Source organism: Homo sapiens, chromosome 6 (genome assembly GCF_000001405.40).
Source record: "Homo sapiens chromosome 6, GRCh38.p14 Primary Assembly".
In the NCBI taxonomy this organism is placed as follows: domain Eukaryota; kingdom Metazoa; phylum Chordata; class Mammalia; order Primates; family Hominidae; genus Homo; species Homo sapiens.
Genome location: NC_000006.12, coordinates 150,846,211 through 150,865,344, shown reverse-complemented (window position 1 = coordinate 150,865,344; position 19,134 = coordinate 150,846,211). Strand labels below are relative to the sequence as shown.

Sequence of the window (19,134 nt, the reverse complement as noted above, 5' to 3'; positions counted from 1 at the left end):
TGCTCTTCTTAAAACCTTAAAAGGATTTTATAGTCCTGATTGGTTCCAGGGCCCCTCCAGGGGACCCACGTCCACAAATGCTCAAGTCCTTGGTAAAAAAAAAAAAAAAAAAAAGTGTTTGCATATCACCTACACACATCTTCCCATCATAAACTTTAGGTCATCTCCACATTCCCTAAGTCCTCACCTAACATCGTGGAGGGGTTCTTGGAAACTGAAACTTTAAGCCAAATGACTGTAAGGAAAACAGTTTGACCACAGGCTAATTGATATGAGTGAAGTTCCTACAACATATCTGTGGTCACAAAATCGCCCCTAAACTTCGAAATAAAGACCAAAACACTTCTAATATTAAACATTGAAATAAGTGTGAGCCATGCATATATTTAAGGAAGATTTTTAGCTCACGCCTATAATCCCAACACTTTGGGAGGCTGAGGTGGGCAGATCACGTGAGGCCAGAAGTTCAAGACCAGCTTGGCCAACATGGCGAAACCCCATCTCTACTAAAAATACAGAAAATTGGCTGGGTGTGGTGGCGCGTGCCTGTATTCTCAGCTACTCGGGAGGCTGAGGCAGGAGAATCGCTTGAACCCAGGAGCCAGAGGTTGCAGTGAGCCGAGATCATGTCACTGTACTCTAGCCTGGGCGACAGAGCACAGCTCTGTCTCAAAGAAAAAGTTTTTTTTAAACACCCCCTATCCCTCTCGCTTAGAGAAAAATAAAGATTAATAAAAGTGAGATCATTTTTACCGGCTTATTCCAACTCAGGGCACCTCACAGGGTGTGCTCACACACACCCACACTCACACTCGGATCGTGTAGATGCACCAATTTACCTAAAGTGCACTGCACGGCTTTGGGATGTGACAGGACACCAGAAGACAGAGAAAATCCACACAGACATGGATAAAACGTGACAGTGGACCCAGCCAGAAATCTATTTTTTTCTCATCATTATAAGAAAACCACTGAGCAAAATGATGAAATGATGTTATTCCAGGACCTGCTGTACTTATAATACCTAATACAATGTAAATGCTATGTAAATAGATATTACACTGTACTTTTTTATTTCTATGATTTTTTATTATTTTTTGTTATTGTAATTTTTTCAAATACTTTCAGTCCCAGGTTGATTGAGGATACAGAGGGCTGACCATAAGTTCCAAGTAAAGTGGATATCAGATTGTAATTTTATGATTCCCAAGTGAGGGTCAGATTGTTAACTTTATATTTTTACAACCTTATACCCTTATAATTCCCAGATAAGGTGGGAATAAAACTAGTCCAAGTTACAGAGATTGGTTTTCCATTAGCCGAGCACCATACTGGGACAGTGCTGGAAGGACCCTTCATACAATCCTAACAAAAGTAGGGAATTGAGAGCTATTGTCTTGACCTTCAACCTTTGGAAACTGGGGTCCAGAGAGGCCCATCTGTTTACTGGCAGAGCTGGGAGATTGAGGCTGCAATGAGCTGTGAGCGTGTCACTGCACTCCAACCTGGGCAACAGAGTGAGACCCTGTCTCAAAAAAAAAAAAAAAAAAAAAAAAAGGCTTCCTGAAGAAAGTGAAAGAGGTGGCAGCTGGAGGCAAGACCTTAGCAGTTGAGCTAAGGGAAGGTCAGCTAAGGGAAGGAAATGAGCTAAGGGAAGGTCAGTGTTGGAAAAGTGGGAATGTTGGAAATGAAGGAACAACATGAGCAAAAGTCTGGAGTAGAAGAGAGCATGATGAATTTGAGATACTGAGAGCTGTTCAGTCGAGTGGGGAGGGCAGGGGAAAATGAGTAGCAATGGCAAGTAAGAAGAGCTGGGCAGGGCCACGTTGTGGCAGGTCACGAAACCATTGCATTGCATTTTTTTTTTTTTTTTGAGATGGAATCTAGCTTTATTGCCCAGGCTGGAGTGCAGTGGCGCAATCTTGTCTCACTGCAGCCTCCACTCCCAGGTTCAAGCAATTCTCCTGCCTCAGCCTCCCAAGTAGCAGGGATTACAGCCAACCACCATGCCTGGCTAATTTTGTGTTTTTGGCAGAGACAGGGTTTCGCCATCTTGGCCAAGCTGCTCTCAAATTCCTGACCTCAGGTGATTTGCCCTCCTCGGCCTCCTCCCAAAGTGTTGGGATTACAGGAGTGAGCCTCTGCGCCCAGCCCATTGCATTGCATTTTGAAAGCAGTGGAAAACAACTGAAGGATTTAGAATTAGGAGAGTGGCAATCTCAGATGTGTGTTGTAGAAGGATCACAGCAGCGACAGCGTAGACAATAGAAAGTGAAGGCAGCAGACAAATCCGAAGACTGTTTCAGTAACAGGAGAAGAAACGAGAAGTTCCTGAGTATATCCTTGACCAATGGATTGGTGAAAAGTGGATGGATTCATGAGATAAGTAAGAGGAACCATTGGTAGCCTTTAGGATTTGATTGATTTAGAGGGTATATGGAAGGAAGTTGTCAAGGATGAAGCCCCACTTTCTGGCTTGAAGTATAGGTGGTGCTATTCCTAGAGGAAGACCAGAGGAGAGAAGCAACAGGCTTAGCCCTATCAAGATTGGCATGCCTATGGGATATCAGAGTGGAGATGTGGAGTAGGATGTTGGATCCATGGATGTATAGCTCAGGAGAAAGTTCAAAAATGGAGATACAGATTTGATAACCATGGTTATGGGTAAGATCACCGAGAGAGTGTATAGAAGACAGGAGGACCTACAATAGCACCAAAAAACACAAACAAGAAAGAAGCAGAGGAAGACAATGCCACAAAAGAGACTACGGAGGGAAAAACAGTAGGAGAAAAAATTAGAAAGTGGGCCGGGTGCGATGGCTCACACCTGTAATCCCAACACTTTGGGAGGCCAAGGTGGGGAGATCACCTGAGGTCGGGAGTTCGAGACCAGCCTGACCAACATGTGAAGGGGGCCTGCCCCTCCACACCTGTGGGTATTTCTCGTCAGGTGGAGACGAGAGACTGAGAAAAGAAATAAGACACAGAGACAAAGTACAGAGAAAGGACAGTGGGCCCAGGAGACCGGTGCTCAACATGTGAGGACCTGCACCGGTGCTAGTCTCTGAGTTCCCTCAGTATTTATTGATCACTATTTTTACTATCTTGGTGAGGGGAGTGTGGCAGGGCAACAGGGTGATGTGGAGAAGGTCAGAGGGGAAACATGTGAGCAAAGGAATCTGTATCATGAATAAGTCCAAGGAAAAGTACTGTGCCTGGATGTGCATGTAGGCTAGATGTATGTTTCCCTTTACACAAACATCTCAGTGTAGCAAAGAGTAACAGAGCAGTATTGCTGCCAGCATATCTTGCCTCCAGCCACAGGGTGGTTTTCTCCTATCTCATGATCAGCTTTACCCTGAGACATTTCATTCCCAGGGACGTGCAGGAGACAGAAAACTTCCCCTTATCTCAACCGCAAAGAGGCCTCCCTCTTTCACTACTCCTCAGCACAGACCCTTCATGGGTGTCGGGCTGGGGGATGTAAGGTCTTTCCTTTCCCATGAGGCCATATCTCAGGCTGTCTCAGTGGGGGAAACCTTGGACAATACCCAAGCTTTCTTGGGCAGAGGTCCCTGCGCCTTTCCGCAGTGCATTGTGTCCCTGGTTAATAGAGAATGGAGAATGGCGATGACTTTTACCAGGCATACTGCCTGCAAACACATTGTTAACAAGGCACAGCCTGCACAGCCCTAAATCCATTAAACCTTGATTTGATACAGCACGTTTCTGCGAGCACATGGTTGGGGCTAAAGTTACAGATTAACAGCATCTCAAAGCAGAACAATATTTCTTAGTACAGATCAAAATGGAATTTCTTATGTCTTCCTTTTCTGCATAGACACAGTAACAATCTGATCTCTCTTTCTTTTCCCCACATTCTCCCTTTTGTTTTTGACAAAACTGCCATCGTCATCATGGCCCGTTCTTGATGGTCGCTGTCTCTTCGGAGCTGCTGGGTACACCTGCAGACTAACAACAGACAGAACAGGCACACAAGGATTAATATGAAATTTATAATAATGGAACTTCTGATGGTTTTAACCCAAGTGACTGGGTTAAGATTTGCGAGGCCATCAGTAGCTTCCGTAATTGCTTCAGTTCCTGGCACCAAATTTAAATGGGCTTTTGATGCCTCAAAAATTTGTTCTTTTAATTTTGAAATGTCTGAAGTAAGATTATCTTCTCTTCCTTGTAGATGGCATCTAACCATGTCCCAGTGAGGCTCAGACTCATTACAGGCTTGGGGTGTAATACAAAAATCTGACGTATTCCAGTCACACTGTAACTGAAAATGATGTTCCAAGCTCACGAGCTTATCTCCCATCCAAATGACATTTTGTCTAAGATCATTAATCTAATTTGCCAATTTTTGATCAATACCAGATTGTGAATTCCACAATCTTGTAGAATTTTTTTTGCCAATTGTTAACAAAGTGTACCGTCTGAACAGAAGAGTGCAATGCAACTCCTGCCACAGCGGCCATAACTGTGACTGCACTTAATCCCGTAGTCACCGCAATCAAAGTAAAAATGAATCTTTTGGATCTATTTAGAACTCCTTTTAATACTTCAGTTAAAATATGGATGGATGGCGAAGCCTCCTACAGTTGGTCCATGGACACAGGGATCCACATGGCCTCTCTTGCTCTCACTGGTAGAATACAGTGCTGCCAATTAAAAGTTGAATCAATGCAAGTAAACAATCTACAATTTTCACAGGTTATAGTTTGGGAATCTGGGTTAATAACTATTTTTCCTACAACTAGCATATAAGGGGGCTTTACACAAATTTGCAAAGGAATTGTCAGACTGGAATTTAGGTCGATAGTATAAGATGGCTTACCATCTCTTGTTTTTATAGCTTAATTTCCAGACCAAATTCTAATGTGGTGCGAGGCCACAGTAAGCTTCCAAAGTTCCGGACGCTTAGGACCAGTAACAGGACTAACTAACTTTGGTCGAGGTGATGAGATTCCCTTTTCACCCCATTCCCAAGGGTATAGAGACTCTAACCTTTTATACTTATTTTTATCTAAACCTTCTGTTAAGTCACTGTCCACAGTTGGACTCACATGTGCACTGGGACACGATTGAGTTTGTCCTGTGCAATTGCAGTAGAATTGACCTCGAGGTGCCCAATCTATAATGGTTCCGAATTCATTGTTTTGTAATATCACCGTCCTATCAGCCACACATTCTTCTCAAACTAAAACTTCTGGGCCTTTTGATCCTTTGGGAATTTCTTTGGGGCAAGGCTTCCCCTTAGGCCTAGATTTTAATCATCTTTGATAAGAAGGGTCCTGCAAATAATTTACCTGTGGCCTGAGTGACATTCCACTTACCCTGTGATAAGTAAATCCACTGGTGGCACTGACAGTAGGTACTTCTACCAACCAATTTTGGGTTGTAGGCATTAAGCATCCTGGTGCCCTCCCCAGGCAAATAGGAGGATAACAATACCCAGTGGAAATAATCATCATCATTCCTTCTTCCTTGGGTTGGGCAGGGCAACGATCATCCGTGGGGCCAGGTACCCATGCACTATTATTAACATATACTTCAATAGAATTATCCACCCATGTAACTGCCCGAATTAAGGGCAGGAAAGGCACATAGGCCCAGTAAGCATAATTAGCTGCAGCTGCTCCTGCAGACATGGGAAGACTTATCACCGTTGATACAATCATCAAAGCTGCAAGCAGCATATTCTCTGGAGTTTGTGTCACCTTTGTGAATGTACTTAATGCCACTGAACTGTATATTTAAAAATGGTTAAGATGGTAAATTTTATGTGCATTTTACCACCATCTTAAAAGTCAAGAAGGAGGTGAAGAAACAGCTCAAATTGGTGATCTAAGTTTGCTAGAGTCAATTACTATCATTTACAACAAAGCACTCTGTTGTGTACAGTGGTTAAAGTGAATGCAGGTGAAGGTCACTGGCCATGAGCAAGTCAAGAAAATAAAGGGCTGGATGTTGAGAAGGTCATCCATCGAAATATCCATCAAATAGGGATTTTCTAGATATTTTCAAGGTGGTGGTAGTATATAGGGGTGGAGAGTATAGGATGATAAGGAGACTGATTCTGAGGTGTGGGCTCACCTTCACTGAATGAGGCCAATTGGTAAGAAGGTCAATGGATGATAGGAGTCAGGTGACACAAAGATTTGCATTCCAGGCTGGGCACAGTGGCTCATGCCTGTAATCCCAGCACTTTGGGAGGCTGAGGAGGGCGAATCACCTGAGGTCAGAAGTTAGAAACCAGCCTGACCAACATGGTGGAACACCGTCTCTACTAACAATTCAAAAATTAGCTGGGCATCGTGGCATCTGCCTGTAATCCCAGCTACTGGGGAGACTGAGGCAGGAGATTCACTTGAACCTGGGAGACAGAGGTTGCAGTGAGTCGAGATTGCGCCATTGCACTCCAGCCTGGACAACAAGAGCGAAACTCCATCTAAAAAAAAAAAAAAAAAATTGCATTCCAAATAGCCACCATGCAATAGTTCATTCATTCATGAGGGCAGAGAAGGAATGGTCTCCAGCCACAGCATGGATCCATGAAGCACTGACTCCACCTCTCGAACTTGAGGTGTTGGATTGTGGGAGAATGAATAGCCTTCCTTTAAGAGATCCCCAGGAGAAACATCCTTAAGGAAGAGCTAAGTGTTAGTTTAAAAAAGAAATGAATTGGCCGGGCGCGGTGGCTCACGCCTGTAACCCCAGTACTTTGGGAGGCCGAGGTGGGCGGATCACAAGGTCAGACTGAGATCATCCTGGCCAACGTGGTGAAACCTCGTCTCTACTAAAAATACAAAAATTAGCTGGGCGTGGTGGCACGAGCCTGTAATCCCAGCTACTCGGGAGGCTGAGGCAGGAGAATTGCTTGAACCAGGGAGTTGGAGGTTGCAGTCAGCCAAGATCACACCACTGAATTCCAGCCTGGCGACAGCGAAACTCCATCTCAAAAAAAAAAAAAAAAAGAATGGAGGGAACTGCTTCCATTAAAATATAGGGAATGTAGAGGAGTTCAACATGGAACTTAAAGTGACCCAGAGCACGCAGACAGAAGATGTGGGAAGAACAGCAGCAGTGAGAAGGTGGGTCAGGAGGGAGACTAACCAGGAAGGATGGTCAGAGGAGCAGCAACCCGGGGTAACAGCTTGAAGCCTGGTGGTTTATGTGGCTCCCAAAATGCCAAAGAGACAGACCCAGCAAATACTGGAAGGCTACAAATGTAGACAGGACACTTGGATAAAACAAGGGTCAACACAGTTTGCACTTCTATGGGAGTTTGTTCCATGAAAGGGCTGTATTTACACAGCAACCCCCAAATGCAGAAGGAGCCTGGAAACCAAAGGAGGCAGAGAAATCCAATGTGTGGTTCTGGGTGATTTATTAGGGAAATTTACAAACAGAAACGTGGTCTTGGGCGGCTACAAGATAGGTAGATCTCTGCACCACAACCCCCTAGACCCAGGGCTTATATCTTGGGGAAAAATATACGTGTTCTAGAAGGAATGTGTAGGTGGCTACCAGCGTCACAGCCTATGATTTCTGCAACAGCAACGAGGGTTGTTTTGAAGGAAACTTACAGTAAATGGGTGTTTCTACATAAATAATAATACATCAACTCAACATTTTGGAGGCATTCCCAGACTTGGGATTAGTCAGTGGATTGGTATTTAAAGTAAATTCACTCTTGTCCCCACCAAGAGTTTTCCTCTTCAATGAATGAGGAGGCTTTGTGTAGAAAGCAAAAGTTCCTCTTCAAATCCCTTTAAATCATAAATGTTATTGATATCTTTTCTCAAAACTAACTTTAAGTTTCTTATTTTATAGTAATAACTCTCTGTTAAGCCTTATGTAGCAAAGGTAACAGAATAAGCATACTCTGACTTCAGTATCTGTTAAACATGCTCACAGGCATGTAGTACATTCTATGTCCTTGTACCTTAGTCAGAATATTCGTGCTGGACATGCCCAGGCATGTCCCAGCTTGCAGCCTACCCTCCTCCCTTATTTGGGAATATTATTACTTTTCTAAGTCCTTTCATAAGCAACTTCCTTTTTTTCCTTTGTTCCTCACTGCCTTTACCTATTTTAAAAAGTTTTGAACTGTTAGCCAATCGGGTTTTAGTTTAGATTGTGAGGTCTGGCTCCAGCCAATGGAGTCAGGACACAGCAATAGGGACCTCATGTGTAAGGCAAAACTATTCTAGTATCTTTTTTACTTTGTGGGTACTCCTGGCAGGATTGCTGACAGGCACCACCCTTTCTGCAAAGAGTAAAAAGAGTTTCCTGTTGAGGAAACATTTTGTCTAATTGCGGATTCTTCTCTGTAACATCGGGGAATAAGCATTTACTTCCAACACTTTGGTCTTCCAGGAAGGACTACCTGAGCCATGAGTGGTTTGCTGGGCTTGGGGAGAAGCTCTGGTTTGATGCAGCTTTTTCCAAAGCTCCCAGGGAGTGCAGTCTGGGCCTGATCTGTGATTGTTTAGGCTGGAAAGCATGGCCCTGGAAGGTGCAAGCCTGGTCGATAGGAGTATGGGTAGCATACGCACCAACAATGCTCTGCAAAATCTGTCTTATTATTAATATCAACCAGCGTATGGCACTGCAGGTGAGGCATGCATGGAGACATTTTGTATCCGGAATTGGTTCCTTCCAGTGGGTTCTTGGTCTCACTGACTTCAAGAATGAAGCTGTGGACCCTCGCGGTGAGTGTTAAAGTTCTTAAAGATGGTGTGTCCGGAGTTTGTTCCTTCAGATGTTCAGATGTGTCCAGAATTTCTTCCTTCTGGTGGGTTCGTGGTCTCGCTGATTTCAGGAGTGAAGCCACAGACCTTCGCAGTGAGTGTTACAGTTCATAAAGGCGGCGCGTCCGGAGTTGTTCATTCCTCCCGGTGGGTTCATGGTCTCGCTGGCTTCAGGAGTGAAGCTGCAGATCTTCGTGGTGAGTGTTACACCTCATAAAGGCAGCGCATCCAGAGTTGTTCATTCCTCCCGGTGAGTTTGTGGTCTCATTGGCTTCACGAGTGAAGCTGCAGACCTTCGTGGTGAGTGTTACAGCTGATAAAGGCAGTGCGGACCCAAAGAGTGAGCAGCAGCAAGATTTATTGTGAAGAGCAAAAGAACAAAGCTTCCACTGTGTGGAGGGGACCCAAGTGGGTTGCTGCTGGTGGTGCAGGTGGCCTGCTTTTATTCCCTTATTTGGCCCCACCTGCATCCTACTGAGTGATCCATTTTGCAGAGAGCTGATTGGTCCATTTTACAGAGTGCTGATTGGTCCATTTTTATAGAGTGCTGATTGGTGCATTTACAAACCTTTAGCTAGACACAGAGCACTGACTGGTGCATTTACAATCCTTTAGCTAGACAGAAAAGTTCTCCAAGTCCCCACCCAACCCAGAAGCCCAGCTGGCTTCACCTCTCAATTTCCCCTCTAAACAGGACACCCCAACTGCTGTTTGGAATTTGGCCAATGACTGCTCTAGCTACTTCCTGCTGGATAGGGGTGAAGCAGGGGCCCTGCAGTTGTGGTGTCCTCCAGAGGGAAACTCTTTAGGCCAGTGGAAGGGCCAGCGGGTCGGTCCAGGGGTCCTCAGTAGAAGTTGTTAGTTGAACTCATTCGGAGTTCCATTTGTAAGACCATCTGTAGCTTGATTGCCTTGATTTTAGAGGAAACAAATTTGACAAGAAGGTTAAAAATACAGGGCCCAAAGGCGAGTAACAGCAAGATGGCTGCCACGGGACCTAGAAAGGGGAGAAGCCATGTTGCCCAACTCCGGAGGTTGGTATAAGAGTTTGAAAGGCGTTGTCTGATTTCAGAAGCCTTTTCCTGTAAATGCCGGGCGGCATTTAGTACTATCCCTGACTGGTTAGGGTAAAAACAACACTCTTCCCCTAAGAAGGTGCAGACTCCTCCTTTCTCAGCCGTGAGGAGGTCTAGGCCTCAGCGCTTTTGGAGAGTCACTGCTGCCAAAGAGTCTATTTGGGATTGTAGAGTAAGGATAGATTTCGTGATTTCTTGCAAACTGTCTGAGAAATCCTTTGAGAATGTGTGGTAGTAGGATAATGAAGTAGATAAACTGGCTATTCCAGTTCCTGTAGCAGTAGCCATTCCTGACCCTATAAGTAGGGGTATTAGTTGTATGGCTTTGCGCTGACGGACTTGAGCTTTGAGGGGTACTGATAAGGTCTGACTTCCCGGGGCAATATTAATGTTGGGACTTAGAAAGACTAAGGTGCAGGTGCCTGTCCAGTTAGTGGGGAGGCAGATATAGGTCGACATTCCACATAAGAAGAGTATACCTTAGCTGGGTAGACAGAACTGGTTGTGTATGTTAAAAAGATGTGTGAATTTGTTGTTTTCATTTTCCCATACTCCTAGAGTACTTGCCAAGGTAGCTCCAGTGAGCGGCTGGAAAGGGGTGTTGGGAGCAAACTGAGTGGCTCCCTGTGTTCTATTTTCCCATTGGAGAAAAAAACATTTTATATCTACTAGGAACCACTCGAGAGAGTGATTGAAAGAGGGGATGAGAAGGCATTCACTAGTGGTGGGGGCGCTGCTGCAGGGGGTGCAGGGGTGAATGGTCATGCAGGGAGTATGTTTGCCATTACAAACCCTGGACTATTTGTTAAGCAGGGAGGAGGTGATGATTTTTGGGGGCCCCAAGAAGCAGACAAGCCATCTAAATGGAGCTGTTTGGGTGACTCAGAAGTTACTATGATCAGTTGGGGCTTGAAGTTGTAGCGTGTAATTACACTGATGGGGTAGTAAGTGCCCCAGGGGCAGGCCTGATAACAGGTTGCGTTGGATGCATAAAGGGGCTTGGAAAGTTAAGATAGTATTTGTAGTTACAGGGCCGTGTATGGGCTTTTCATTGCTTGTGTAATAGGTGAGGTTGGAAATGTAAGAACGTAAAAGTTGGATTGCACATCCTGTTAGGGTATTCTTGTTCCTATCAGAGATGGGGAAGTTGGCTAATGATTGCATATTTAAAAGTCAGAAAGGGTCTTTTCCTTCATAACGAGGGTGGTAGGTTAATTTGGTAAAGACCCAGTTTTTTGCAGGAATGGGAGTGGCAGTGTAAGCAGAGGTTGATAGAGAGATACAAAGCCAACAGTCATTTGCCAGGGAAGGATTGGACTGGTTTAACAGAGAGTAGGTTAAGTTGAGAGACTTGTAGAGGTAATTAGGAGCTAGTGGAAGGGGAGGGGCAATTGTATGAGGTATCCAAGGAAGCAGGAGGGATAGATAGGCAAAGAGTAAATAGGAAGGTAAAGAGGGTGCTCTGGAAGACGAGACCATTTTATCCAGTCTGAGTTAAAGGCAGGAGTAAATTGCTGTCAGAAGGAAGGAAGATAGAAGGTTGATGTGATTAGGATTTTTCTCCCAGCAGGAGCTACAGTATACAGTCCTATCGCAAAGAGTATGGTTAGTATGCTGCTTAATAATATGATGAAATAGTAAAAGGATTCCATTAAAGGGGCAAGGAGAGGTGTTAAAGATTATGTAGGTTTTCACTTATCTTTTTTAAGGAGAAAGGGATTTTTCTTCAGGATCAGCGGTAGGAGCCTTTTTAGTCTGGGATGTTTCCTTCCGAAATAGGAGATGCAAGTCCTCCAATGGTTCGCAGGTGTATCGAGGCTGGTCTGGCTTGAGACTCCTGAGCTGACAGTCCTGCAGGTTCCTCAGGGGATGTCCAAAATGTAACTCGGGTGTGGTGAATCCAAGATTCCACTCCTGCCACCTTAACTGCAGTGGGGTTAGAGAGGATTACCGAGTATGGTCCTTCCCACAAAGAGTTCATAGATGGGGAGGTAGAGGGGTGAGATTTGACCAACACTAGATCTCCTAGTTGAAACAACTCTGTTCCCTTTTCTCTGTGACATCCTTCAGGTAGGTTTTTAAGGTTTTGTTGATATTTTGCCAAATAAGTTGTATCTTTGACCAAGTTGGCCATTTCCTGATCAAGTAGGAGGTCATTTGTGAGAAAAGGTCGTCCCTACAGCATTTCATGTGGATTAAGCCCCATTTTGTGAGGAGAATTTTGGATTCTCAACAAGGCCATGGGCAAAAGAGTAGGCCATGGGAGATGAGTTTCTTGTATTAGTTTCCTTAAGTGCCTCTTGAGTGTTTCATTTGCCTTCTTGACCTTCCCTGAGGATTGTGGCCTCCAGGTGCAGTGAAGATGCTGTTGTATCACTAGTGCCCTGGAAACTCCCTGAGTTATCATGTCTTTAAAAGTCAGACCATTGTCACTCTGTAAGCTTTGGGGAAGCCCAAATCTAGGAATTATTTCATGAATTAGAACTTTAATCACTTCCTGAGCCTTCTCTGTCTTGCGGGGGAAAGCTTCTATCCAATTTGTAAAGATATCAACACAGACCAACAAGTATTGAAATCCCTTTGACTTAGGCATATGGGTGAAGTCTAACTGTCAGTCCTCTCCGGGATAGTGACCTATTCTTTGTGCCCCCACAGGGGCCTTATGATGGACCAAGAGATTATTCCTTTGGCATACCTCACAGGCTTTGACTACCTGTCACATGGTCTGGAGGAGATTTGGCCCTGTAAATAGGGATTTGGCCATTTGATGAGTGTTTTCAATACCCATATGAACAGTTTGGTGGAGAGTTTTAAGTATTTTCCACTGGCTTGCTTTGGGAATAAGTACCTTTCCTTCTTCTGTCGTTAACCACCCTGAGGGGAGAAAACTATGTCCCCGTGAAAGTCCCCATTCTGTTTCAATCGGGGAATACTGGGGCTTAATCTCCTGGAGGGGGTTGTTCCATACCAAGGGTCCTTCCATAGGTATTTCTAATGGGAGATTCCACCTGGCAGCAATTTTGGCCTCAGTATCTGCCCAGTGGTTTCCTTCTGCCTTTTCTCCTTCACCTTTCTGATGGCTTTGGCAGTGTAAGACTGCCACCTCCTTGGGTTTTTGCACTGTGTGCAATAACTCCATAATTTCCATGTGGTATTTAATGCGGGTCCCCCAGAGGTTAGAAGCTCCCTTTCTTCCCATATTGCAGCATGGGCATGTAGGATTAGATAAGCATACTTGCTATCTGTATACACATTTATTCTTTTTCCCTTTCCCAGTTCTAAGGCTCGGGTAAGTGCCACTAGTTCTGCTAAATGGGCGCTGGTCCCTGAGGGAAGAGGCTTACTTTCAAGTACAGCTACATCACTAACTATGGCATAACCTGCCCTTCGTATCCCGTTCTCCACAAATGAACTTCCATGGGTATATAGGTTAAGGTCAGGATTAGCTAAGGGGACCTCTAAGAGACCATCTTGGGCAGCATAAGTTGGACTATAATTTGTCGGCAGTCATGCATGATTGGTTCCCCATCCTCTGGGAGAAAAGTGGCAGGGTTCAGGGCCATGCACGTACGTATTTGAAGCACCGGTCCCTCAAAGAGTAGTGCCTGGTATCTAAGTAGGCGGTTGTCTGATAACCATAAACTTCCTTTGGCACCTAGTATGCCATTTACATCATGAGTAGTCCAGACAGTGAGATCCTTTCCTTGTATTATTTTGATAGCCTCTGACACTAAGACAGCCACCGCTGCAACTACCCTTAAACAGTGAGGCCAGCCTTTTGCTACTACATCAGTTTCCTTACGTAGGTATGCCACTGGTTGTGGGGTTGTCCCACGAGTCTGAATAAGGACTCCAAGAGCTATCCCTGCTCTCTCTGTGACATATAAAGAGAAGTTTTGTCCTGTGGGAAGGCTTAAAGCTGGAGCTTGTACTAGGGCCTTTTAAGGTTTTGAAGGCTGTTTCTCCCCCTGGTTCCCATTCTACTAGATGAGTATTTGCCCTCTGGGTCTCCTTGATTAGAGTATATAGGGGCCTGACTATCTCACTGTATCCGGGGATCCATAGTTGGCAAAAGCCAGTAATTCTAAGGAACCCCCACAACTGTTTTAATGTCTTAGGGTGAGGATGAGCCAGTATGGGCTGTATTCGTTCCTTGCTGAGGTCCCTGGTCCCTCTGGCTAAGATTAGGCCTAGATATTTGACCTGTTGTAGGCAAAGCTGGGCCTTTGACCTAGACACCTTGTACCCTTGATTAGCTAGAAAGTTCAAGAGATCTACAGTGGCCTGCTGGCACGAGGCTTCTGAACTGGTAGCCAAAAGTAAATCATCCAGATACTGAAGGAACAGAGTGCCTGGACTTGAGACATGGCCTAGATCTTGGGCCAGTGCCTGACCAAACAGATGAGGGCTATCCCTAAAACCTTGGGGCAAGACCGTCCACGTAAGTTGGGACATGTGGTCTGTGGGATCCTCAAAGGCAAAGAGAAACTGGGAGTCAGAGTGCAGGGGAATACAGAAGGCATCCTTGAGGTCCAGAACAGTGAACCATTCTGCTTCCTCTGGTATTTGAGAGAGCAGGGTATAGGGTTTGGGTACAACTGGATATAGATGAATTACTGCCTCATTGATGAGTCTAAGATCTTGCACTAGTCTCCACTGACCGTTTGGTTTTTGTACTCCTAGAATTGGGGTGTTGCAGGGACTGCTGCATTTCCTAAGCCTTGAGCTTTTAAATGTTTAACAATATCCTGTAATCCTTTATGAGCTTCAGGCCTTAAGGGATATTGCCTTTGATAAGGAAAAGTGATGGGGTCTTTTAGCCTGATTTGGACTGCGCAGGCATTTTTTGCTCTGAGGGAGGGAAGTGATCTCTAGAGTTGGAAGAGTGATGCCTTTTGTCCTCACTTATATGAATAGGAAGGATACAATTTCTGAGGCTCCCCATATCCTAGCTTCAGGAATAGCTTTTGTTAGGCCCACTTGTCTGAGGAGGTATCCTAAAATTCCAGATAGTATCCCCTACGATGGGGCTTTGGGAAAAATTATGTTTTTCTGATTGGTGAGCCCAGGTGCCGAAAGAAGGTAACAGAGTCCTGGAGTTTGAACTAGAAATCATTCTTATAGGAGAAACTAGAAAAGCACCAGAGACAGGGAGTGGTTTTTAGAAGCGGGACTAGCCTCGGAGAAGAGAGGTGAGAGGGAGTTTGTCTGGCAGGCATTAGGACCCAGGAGGCAAGGGTCAAGGTAGATAGAATAGATGAGAGAGTCTGGCTTGGGCAACATGACTTTGAGAGTTCCGCTCATGGCTGCAGGGTCAACCAACTTGTTCTCAGGACCTCGGAGCTGAATGGCTTTCCTCTCTGTCAACCCTCAGCTCAGCCCGGAAGTACAGGAAAAGTGGCAAACCAATGCTCCCAACTCCAAAGAGTGGGGGCTTGTTAGAGAGCCCTTTCCCAGAAATCCTGACATCCATGTCTTTAGTCTGGTGGCCATGCTAGTTGCTTTTAACTGGCCGACAGGTGCCTGATATTTAGCCCTCAAATGCTAAGGAAAAATAGGACAGAATAGCAAGCAAAAGGGGTCCGATGGTACTCACTGCTTGGCAATAGTCAATGGTCCCTTCGTGGTCACCAAAATGTGTCCAGAATTGATTCCTTCCGGTGGGTTCTTGGTCTCGCTGACTTCAAGAATGAAGCCGTGGACCCTTGCGGTGAGTGTTAAAGTTCTTAAAGATGGTGTGTCCAGAGTTTGTTCCTTCAGATGTTCAGATGTGTCCAGAGTTTCTTCCTCCCGGTGGGTTCGTGGTCTTGCTGACTTCAGGAGTGAAGCTGCAGACCTTCGCAGTGAGTGTTACAGTTCATAAAGGCGGCGCATCCGGAGTTGTTCGTTCCTCCCGGTGGGTTCGTGGTCTCGCTGGCTTCAGGAGTGAAGCTGCAGACCTTCGCAGTGAGTGTTACAGTTCATAAAGGCGGCGCATCCGGAGTTGTTCGTTCCTCCCGGTGGGTTTGTGGTCTCGCTGGCTTCAGGAGTGAAGCTGCAGACCTTCGTGGTGAGTGTTACAGCTCATAAAGGCAGTGCGGACCCAAAGAGTGAGCAGCAGCAAGATTTATTGTGAAGAGTGAAAGAACAAAGCTTCCACAGCATGGAAGGGGACCCAAGCGGGTTGCCGCTGCTGGCTCAGGTGGCCTGATTTTATTCCCTTATTTGGCCCCACCACATCCTGCTGATTGGTCCATTTTACAGAGTGCTGATTGGTGCGTTTACAAACCTTTAGCTAGACACAGAGCACTGATTAGTGCATTTACAATCCTTTAGCTAGACAGAAAAGTTCTCCAAGTCCCCACCCGACCCAGAAGACTAGCCAGATTCACCTCTCAATTTGATACATAAATCTTTAACTGCCGTTGAATTTATTCTCTTAGAATAAATTTCCGGAAGTCTAATTAATGGCTCAAAGAGGATGAATTTTTAATGTTACTGATTCATATTGCTAAATTCATTTATAATATTCTATACCAATGTGTATTCTGATTCATTTGGGATTAACAGTCTTTCTCCATCCTTAATCATACTGGATAAAAATTAAAAAAAACTTGTATGTCACAAAATTAGCATGGTTTTGAGACCATTCTTTAGGGGTCTCATGATTTTGTATTTCTTCATGTCTTGTATTATTCTCTTACCCCAGACTATCAATTCAAGGACATTTTTAGAGCATACAGCCTTGGAAGATAGAAATAGTATCTCCCCTTAGGGCAGAAGGCAGATTTGTTTGCCTCCACAGAATAAAGATAATGTCTCCCTCCAGGGGCAAAGGTTGGGCAGATTTGCTAGTAGCTTCTTTTAAGTTTGGGGATTTCTGAGCCCAGGGCTCCTCTGCTGTGGAATGAACCACTGTGTGTACAACAACCCCCTGGGCTGCTCTGAGACTAGCGGGGTGAGGGGAAGCAATGGAAATGTAAAGCTCATGCTACCGGCTGTGCTGTAATCATGTCCTTCCTCTCTTACCCAGGAGTCTTGTGTCTTCTGCCAGTATTGATGAAACTGAGGCAGGTTACCTTGTTAGCTTGCAAGCTGGGTAAAATCTCACAGTTCTTGGCAATCGTTTCTGAGCTGGGTTTTGAGGACTTAGCGGGTTTCCCTTTGGATAGTAGGGGAAGGGTATTGCAGGCAGAGGGAGCAGCTCTTCCTCATATAAAGGCAGAGACAGATTATGGGGGGCTTTGTGGAGGATTTTTTTTTTCTTTGAGATGGAGTCTCGCTTTGTTGCCCAAGCTGGAGTGCACTGGCATGATCTTGGCTCACTGCAACCTCCGCCTCCTGGGTTCAAGAGATTCTTCTGCCTCAGCGTCCCGAGTAGCTGGGATTACCGGCTTGCCCACTAAACCTGGCTAATTTTTGTATTTTTAGTAGAGATGGGTTTTCACCACTTTGGCCAGGCTGGTCTCGAACTCCTGACCTTAAGTGATCTGCCTGCCTCTGTCCCCTAAAGTGCTGGAATTACAGGTGTGAACCACCGCACTCGGCCCTGGAGGATTTTATTCTGTGTTTAAAACACAGAATAAAAGACAGGAAGTGGGGAAGACAGTGGCAGGACAACTAGTTAGGACGCTGTTATAGTAGTCCAACAAAAAGACTGCAAACTAGAGGAGGAGCTTCTGAGGAAGAAAGGAGTCGTACATGGGGAAAAATGACATTGGCTCTGGACAACTCAGAGATGTCCTGCAGGAAAAATCTTGCACTGAAGAGGGGAGTTTGACCCTAGAGATGGTGTTTTGGGAAACAGAGTATATATAGTAGTGAATTCAGGTGAATTCATATTAAAGGAGAATGGAGTGGAGATGATTTGGTATCACAGACCTGAAGCCTCTGGAGGCTTCTAGAGGATGGGTAGATAATACAGTATTAACTAGGGAAGTGGACCAGGTATAAAACTTCCCCCAAAGCAGCTATACGTTCTAGAGATCTTTGTGACGTATGTTTATTTTATCTTAAAAGGAGAGATTTCTTATTTTCTACCTAAAGCATCTGTATTTCAAGTGTACCACGGTTGCTTTAAATTTGTTGACGAAGTCCATAATGAAGGATAAAGGAACCATTTCCCCCAAAGGTCAAAGCAAGTGTCCACCTTTTAGGGTGACTTTCACCTTTAGATCCCCTCCTTAGATCTCATAGCATTGGCCTCACCAGAATCCAGGTCCACACAGACCACATCTTTTTTTTTTTTTTTTTTTTTTTTTTTTAAGAGGTGGAAATTTGGATTTTATGCTTAAGCCTTTCTAAAATTGTAAAAGCCGAGGGCCGGGTGTGGTGGCTCACGCCTGTAATCCCAGCACTTTGGGAGGCTGAGGTGGGTGGATCACTTGAGCCCAGGAGTTTGAGACCAGCCTGGGCAACATGGTGAAACCCTGTCTCTACTAAAAATACAAAAATTAGCCAGGTGTGATGGCACGTGCCTGTAGTCCCAGCTACTTGGGAGGCTGAGGCAAGAGAATTGCTCAAGCCCGGAACGTGGAGGTTGCAGTGAGCTGATATCACGCCACTGCACTCTAGCCTGGGCAACAGTGCGAGACTGTCTCCAAATAGATAAATAAATAAATAAAATTGCACAAGCCAGATTGAGCCCCTGGGCCAGCAGTTTGCAGCCTCTGACTTAACTGTGGTTTAGTAGCAGGAATCTGCTTACCCTGTGGTCTTGATGGTTCCATGAGAACTATGTGGAGAGGCATACATTGCTATGTAAACAGGAGGGCAAATTGGGGGCTTATATTTGCCCGTTAGAACAGATGATTTGATCACCATCCAAGCCCTGTTGTTTTATATTGAGCTTGATAAACATGGTTTTGGAACCAATGAGGTGGAACTGCCTGCTTGTCTTTCTTTCCTATTGTACGATGCATGTGAATAAGCCATTGTCAGGAAAATAAGACTCTTGTTTTTCACAGATACATAAGGTGGACTTTGATCCACAGATGTGTACCAAAATTGTAAAGTGGGCAAGTGTGTTTTTTGGCACCCCAAATCGAGGCATTCTGGGCCTTTTCCTTCCACCTTATTTGACTTCAACCCCACATCTACATGCTAGGGTGCTCTATGATCTCATCACATCAAAAGGCGGGAAGTAACAACAGCAGCAAGTAAGTTGCTTTAAAAAAATTCACAGCGCCCTCAGAAATCCAATATGATCAAAAGCAGTTATCAGGACAGGCAGTGGTCTACATGGAATTTTGAGGAGGGTCTGATAATCACACCTTCCTGTGCCCATGTAGATGCTTAGCCTAAAAGGTTACTGG

The 19,134-nt window shown here is 45.0% G+C and overlaps 1 long non-coding RNA gene across 1 annotated transcript, besides 2 other annotated features; it reads right to left on the bottom strand.

Annotated features, from left to right (window-relative positions):
- Window positions 7,383-16,034, bottom strand: LOC124901431 (uncharacterized). Its single transcript, XR_007059812.1, has 2 exons — window positions 15,438-16,034; window positions 7,383-11,767 (listed from the first exon to the last, which is right to left on the bottom strand). It is a non-coding gene; the product is annotated as an uncharacterized LOC124901431 (long non-coding RNA).
- Window positions 7,607-8,806: an enhancer, noted in NCBI's record as "MED14-independent group 3 enhancer chr6:151177675-151178874 (GRCh37/hg19 assembly coordinates)". NCBI's record gives its function as "activates an origin of replication core promoter dependent on BRD2, BRD4, P300/CBP and CDK7 cofactors, and independent of MED14, by STARR-seq in HCT116 cells {active_cell/tissue: HCT116}" and the evidence as "EXISTENCE:reporter gene assay evidence [ECO:0000049][PMID:35650434]".
- Window positions 15,302-16,501: an enhancer, noted in NCBI's record as "BRD4-independent group 4 enhancer chr6:151169980-151171179 (GRCh37/hg19 assembly coordinates)". NCBI's record gives its function as "activates an origin of replication core promoter dependent on BRD2, P300/CBP, MED14 and CDK7 cofactors, and independent of BRD4, by STARR-seq in HCT116 cells {active_cell/tissue: HCT116}" and the evidence as "EXISTENCE:reporter gene assay evidence [ECO:0000049][PMID:35650434]".